Source organism: Homo sapiens, chromosome 4, assembly GCF_000001405.40.
Source record: "Homo sapiens chromosome 4, GRCh38.p14 Primary Assembly".
In the NCBI taxonomy this organism is placed as follows: Eukaryota; Metazoa; Chordata; class Mammalia; order Primates; family Hominidae; genus Homo; species Homo sapiens.
The window spans coordinates 163,347,236-163,353,426 of NC_000004.12; the positions used below are offsets into that span (position 1 = coordinate 163,347,236).

The 6,191-nt window shown below is 36.3% G+C and overlaps 1 protein-coding gene across 9 annotated transcripts in view; it reads left to right on the forward strand.

Moving 5' to 3' along the window:
* NPY5R (neuropeptide Y receptor Y5) overlaps positions 1-5,168 on the forward strand; it is an 8,512-nt gene extending 3,344 nt beyond the window's left edge. For 2 of the 9 annotated variants that reach the window (XM_017008256.2, XM_047415745.1), the window contains exons 3-6: positions 2-129; positions 217-287; positions 2,063-2,102; positions 3,030-4,699. In XM_017008256.2, the coding sequence (XP_016863745.1) occupies positions 2,091-2,102; positions 3,030-4,376 (1,359 nt within the window). In that variant the 5' untranslated portion in view covers positions 2-129; positions 217-287; positions 2,063-2,090 and the 3' untranslated portion in view covers positions 4,377-4,699. Of the gene's footprint in view, position 1; positions 130-216; positions 288-2,062; positions 2,103-3,026 lie in introns of all 9 variants that reach the window. The other 7 variants (XM_011532015.3, XM_017008255.2, NM_006174.4 and 4 more) reach the window with 5 other exon arrangements.
* Positions 5,169-6,191: the final 1,023 nt, after the last annotated feature.

Here is a 6,191-nt window from a genome sequence, read left to right on the forward strand (position 1 = left end):
GAGAGGTCTAACCACATGGAATGGAGAAAAATCTGAATTTTAGACTCAAAACTACATTGTTTCTATTACCACAAATTGTGCTGCATCTTCTCTTTCTTCAAAAAATTTTGGACAGCAATTTTACACTAAGTAAGTATCATCCACAGTTACATGTTCCAAAAAGGCACAAAGCCGTTGTAGAAGGGGCCATCTAATTTCTCTCTTGTTCTTGCTTAGGTGTTACAAGGAAAGGCTATCGGTAACAACTGACCTGCCACAAAGTTAGAAGAAAGGATTGATTCAAGAAAGTAAGTCAAGAGAAGAACAACTAAGCAGGATTGCAGTTACAAGCAGCCTGTACACAATTATAAATATAAATAGGATCATGAATAAGCTGAATTGAGCCAGGGGATCATCAGAACTCAGGAAATTAGGCAAAAGCACCAGTCAAAGCTGTTTTGATTAGAAGCTTGCTGACCTATCCAGAGTAGGTGCTGAGAGGCCATTGACTGGGAATATGATGAATAATATGATTCAGTAGGTCATGCGAGTCACTTTTGTACCAGGTGTTCTTTGTCATTGAGGCAATATCAATGTAAATTGTTGGCTAGGGTCTAAGAATGAATGAATACAATCCTAAGTCTTTGAATTAACTTATCCTTTAAAAGGATGTAGTTAGCTTCCAGAAAATAATTTGGTCAACATAGAATCACTTGTAGAAGTTGTGAAAAACTTGTAACTTTTCTCATAGCACAATGATGACTCTGTCATCCTGTTTGAAACTTGCTACACATAGAACTGAAGTTAAACTTATTTGTAATGAATGTATGTACACAATAGTATTTGCCATTTGGAAATTTATTGAACGAAGACCTGCAGGTCCCTCATAAATTAAAGATAACAGTGTTTACTATTAATTTAAATAAACATGTATTTTTATAGTTTTAGTATAATTATTCAATTATAGATCTAGAAATAAGTAGATAAACATATATTGATAGGTAACAAAAGTGGTTTTTTAACTATATATATCACAATCTCTACGACAATGTATTTATTGGAATTAATTTCTTTGTTGGTTTGTGTTTTCTGTAGGAAATTCTTGTTAAAAGAACATTAAAGTGGCTGGGCACAGTGGTTCATGCCTCTCATGCCTATAATCCCAACAGTTTGGGAGGCCAAGGTGGGAGGTTTACTTGAGGCCAGGAGTTTGAGACCAGCCTGGGCAACATAGCCAGGCCCCATCTCCACAAAAAATAGAAAGATTAGCCAGATGTAGTGGCACGTGCCTGTAGTCCCACGTGCCTGTAGTCCCAGCTGCTTGGGAGGCTGAGATGAGAGGATTGCTTGAGTCCAGGCGTTCAAGGTTACAATGAGCTGTGGTCACACTACTGCACCCCAGCCTGGGCAACAGAATGAGACCCTTTTTCTAAGAAAAATAAAAAGGTAAAAAAAAAAAAAAGTCCTTTTTTTTTTAAACGAGAGGAGGGAGTCCTTTTGCCTCTTATTGGTATGTTATAGGCAATTTAGTGCTTCATCAGGCAGTAGCATCAAAAGTCTAATATGTAGAGGTAAATACGTAATGCCATTGATGTATGACATTAATTTAATTTGAAATGAAGAAAACTTATTACCGGGAGTTATATTAATATCACTGCTACATTTACGTTTAAGGTATAATGTTTTCCTTGAACAATGAATTCATTGACTCGTTCATAAGCCAAAATCTATACACAGTTTTTAAATTAATCAACAGGTGAAATTTGATTGTTTGTTTTTTTAAAACGCCAACAGCCTGCTAGTCTGTCAGTGGTTGTCCTAATCAGAGATAATCTGGCACATCTCAAACCATTGAGGATTGGTCACAGAAAGATGTCATCATCCAGCATTGCGTCCACACAGTCAACAGTAGAGTTTGATAAATATATTTAATGAGTGCCTACTATATGCATCTGGGTCATGAGATAGTGATCCTATTCTCAAGGAGCATAAATTTGAACATTGTACGAACTAGGTGATATTTGTTACTAGAGTTTTGTTTGAACGTTTTATTCTCTCATAAACATTTATTTAATACCTGCAGTGATGAAGTTACTCTGCCATGTATTGGGATGGATTCCAAAGTGAGTAAGAGATAGTTTCTGCTTTTCCATTGCTTGTAAATAAACAAGGTAGATGGGTAGGCATTATAATGCAATGAAAGCAGATTATGATATGTAGCATCAGACAACTGTAAACAGAATGTAACAGGAGTTCTGAAGAGGAGATCATGTCCAGCCGAGTTGACCAGGACAAGTGACTTTTAAGTTTGGCCTAGATTGAGATAGAAATAAATGGAATTTTTATGATAAGATTATGTGACTATACTACATACCAGGTATATTGACTTGGAGAATAATATTAATGAGTGATTGCAAAGCATGTATCTTGAAGTTCTTGTCTACATTTGCCTTTTTCTTTCCTTACGTTATTTACTACAGAAATTTTAAAAATGCAATCTACTACCTTAACATAAATTAATACATCTTAGAAGTAATGATAAAATTAAATTTACTATAATCATTATTGGCTGATACTTGAATTGCCCTTGGAACGAGTTAAAGGTATCATAAACTTTCTGGGCTGGGCACGGTGGCTCACGCCTGTAATCCCAGCACTTTGGGAGGCCGAGGCGGGCGGATCACGAGGTCAGGAGATCGAGACCACGGTGAAACCCGGTCTCTACTAAAAATACAAAAAATTAGCTGGGCGCAGTGGCGGGCGCCTGTAGTCCCAGCTACTCGGGAGGCTGAGGCAGGAGAATGGCGTGAACCCGGGAGGCGGAGCTTGCAGTGAGCCGAGATGGCGCCACTGCACTCCAGCCTGGGCGACAGAGCGAGACTCCGTCTCAAAAAAAAAAAAAAAAAAAAAAGATATCATAAACTTCCTTAGGAGATTAATAAGGTCACGGGAGCTGATTGTAATATTTAGTTTCCCTCTGAATAGATTAATTTAAAGTAGTCATGTAATGTTTTTTTGGTTGCTGACAAATGTCTTTTTATTCCAAGCAGGACTATAATATGGATTTAGAGCTCGACGAGTATTATAACAAGACACTTGCCACAGAGAATAATACTGCTGCCACTCGGAATTCTGATTTCCCAGTCTGGGATGACTATAAAAGCAGTGTAGATGACTTACAGTATTTTCTGATTGGGCTCTATACATTTGTAAGTCTTCTTGGCTTTATGGGGAATCTACTTATTTTAATGGCTCTCATGAAAAAGCGTAATCAGAAGACTACGGTAAACTTCCTCATAGGCAATCTGGCCTTTTCTGATATCTTGGTTGTGCTGTTTTGCTCACCTTTCACACTGACGTCTGTCTTGCTGGATCAGTGGATGTTTGGCAAAGTCATGTGCCATATTATGCCTTTTCTTCAATGTGTGTCAGTTTTGGTTTCAACTTTAATTTTAATATCAATTGCCATTGTCAGGTATCATATGATAAAACATCCCATATCTAATAATTTAACAGCAAACCATGGCTACTTTCTGATAGCTACTGTCTGGACACTAGGTTTTGCCATCTGTTCTCCCCTTCCAGTGTTTCACAGTCTTGTGGAACTTCAAGAAACATTTGGTTCAGCATTGCTGAGCAGCAGGTATTTATGTGTTGAGTCATGGCCATCTGATTCATACAGAATTGCCTTTACTATCTCTTTATTGCTAGTTCAGTATATTCTGCCCTTAGTTTGTCTTACTGTAAGTCATACAAGTGTCTGCAGAAGTATAAGCTGTGGATTGTCCAACAAAGAAAACAGACTTGAAGAAAATGAGATGATCAACTTAACTCTTCATCCATCCAAAAAGAGTGGGCCTCAGGTGAAACTCTCTGGCAGCCATAAATGGAGTTATTCATTCATCAAAAAACACAGAAGAAGATATAGCAAGAAGACAGCATGTGTGTTACCTGCTCCAGAAAGACCTTCTCAAGAGAACCACTCCAGAATACTTCCAGAAAACTTTGGCTCTGTAAGAAGTCAGCTCTCTTCATCCAGTAAGTTCATACCAGGGGTCCCCACTTGCTTTGAGATAAAACCTGAAGAAAATTCAGATGTTCATGAATTGAGAGTAAAACGTTCTGTTACAAGAATAAAAAAGAGATCTCGAAGTGTTTTCTACAGACTGACCATACTGATATTAGTATTTGCTGTTAGTTGGATGCCACTACACCTTTTCCATGTGGTAACTGATTTTAATGACAATCTTATTTCAAATAGGCATTTCAAGTTGGTGTATTGCATTTGTCATTTGTTGGGCATGATGTCCTGTTGTCTTAATCCAATTCTATATGGGTTTCTTAATAATGGGATTAAAGCTGATTTAGTGTCCCTTATACACTGTCTTCATATGTAATAATTCTCACTGTTTACCAAGGAAAGAACAAATGCTGGGGTCATATAAAATATATTTATGATAACTATTTACATATAATAAATAGAAATTTTGTTAACATGGAATTTAATTTATGTGAAAGAGTTCTGGATTCAAATGTCAGTTCATAATATATGGAAGATAATTTTATGTGTTATAGTAGGATTAATTTATTTAGTTGTGCAGTCAGTGTCAATCCAATCTGTAATTTCACTTTAGAAGGTTGTATTACCTTCCACTTCCATGTTGTCTTATAAACAAATGAATTGTATTTTTTGTTGAAAGTAAAAGTTATATCTAACCAACTCAGTACTTTTGTCCAAAAATATAATAAGAAAAAATTTTTCTCGAGGAACTTTTAATTTCAAACTTGAAGAATATCTACCAGCTATCTATATTCATTTCTACTCCATAGGCTTCTTAATGTTTAGTTTGTGAAGTACAGAAAAAATTTAATATGCCTGGAAAATCACAACTAAATGACAGATGTATGCCCAAATTATGATTATAATCTTCAACATTAAGTACAGTTTTGGAAGTCCTGTAGGAAAATGCTATTGCCTATTGAGAATTGGTCAAATTGTCAATTTAACTCCACTGTCCTAGTAATACACAAGTAATTTACCAAATAAAGAATTTTAAATCCTTTCCAGACTCATTATACAACATTAAACACTACCAATAAAAGTTGTTTTCATATACATCTTTTCTATTCTAAAATGTGAAGTCTAAATGGTATCTGTATTTCCAATTATTAAATAATTTTAAAGAATATTTTAAATGTGCACAGATAATTTTTTTTTGGCCAACATATAGAATGATTAATATACTTTATACTGTTTCAATACTGTAGTCTCATATGCTGTCTTGTTAAATTGAGGTCAGTCTTTTCAATTGTTGAAACTTTGTTTTAGCCTAGTCTTTTAAAGAACCAAGTATCTGAAAAAAAATAGCATATTTTCATATACGATTCAGATGTTCATAATAACATTGACATCTTCAGTTCCTATAACTGATTTAAGCCTTTTCCATATTGATTCCTGTTCATAATACGGGAAAACAATGAAACAAAACAAACACAAAAGCTCTAAGTTTACAAGTAATAAGCCATGCTGGTAAGTATTTAATTAATTAAAAATCCAAAATCTCTATGGGGCATTCTTTATGCCCTTCTTCTTCCCTGGATGATATCCACATACGGGAAATTGGTGTGATTTCTTGCCACAGGGAAAATAGTGCTGGTCTACAAAATATCCTCTACTGGTTCCTGCTGAACTCCAGTTGAGGCACGATAATGTTGCCTTGTTTCTGTGTTACATCAGGCTCTGCTGTACCATGTATGCTCTGTTCTCAACAACGTTAAGGCCTCAGAGTCCAGCTCCAGAATCCCCAACCCCTGCTGACATGGTAGGATTGATATTCTCATTGACTTAAACTGTCGTTGCTTGAGTGTCAGCCACATCCTCTGTTTTGTTCAAAGGTTAGGCTGTCTACTCTGTGGAGTCTTGCTATGCAGTCAATGACATTGCCCCTTGCCAAACCTGGAAACTATTGGAGAACTTTACATTCATCACTGGAACTCCACAGGAACTTACGAAACACTATTCCTCACATAGATAACAAAGAACTGAGGCAACTTGGGCTTACTCAGGCTTTCTCTCTGCTCATATGTGATAAGCTGCCCTATCAACTCTGTTGTGTCCAGTCCATGTTGGTACAATAGCACTCTGCCTCTCAGTCCTTTTTTAGACTTTCAAATATAAATCTGGTCACAAGCCCCCTCTGCTTTTAGCTTCC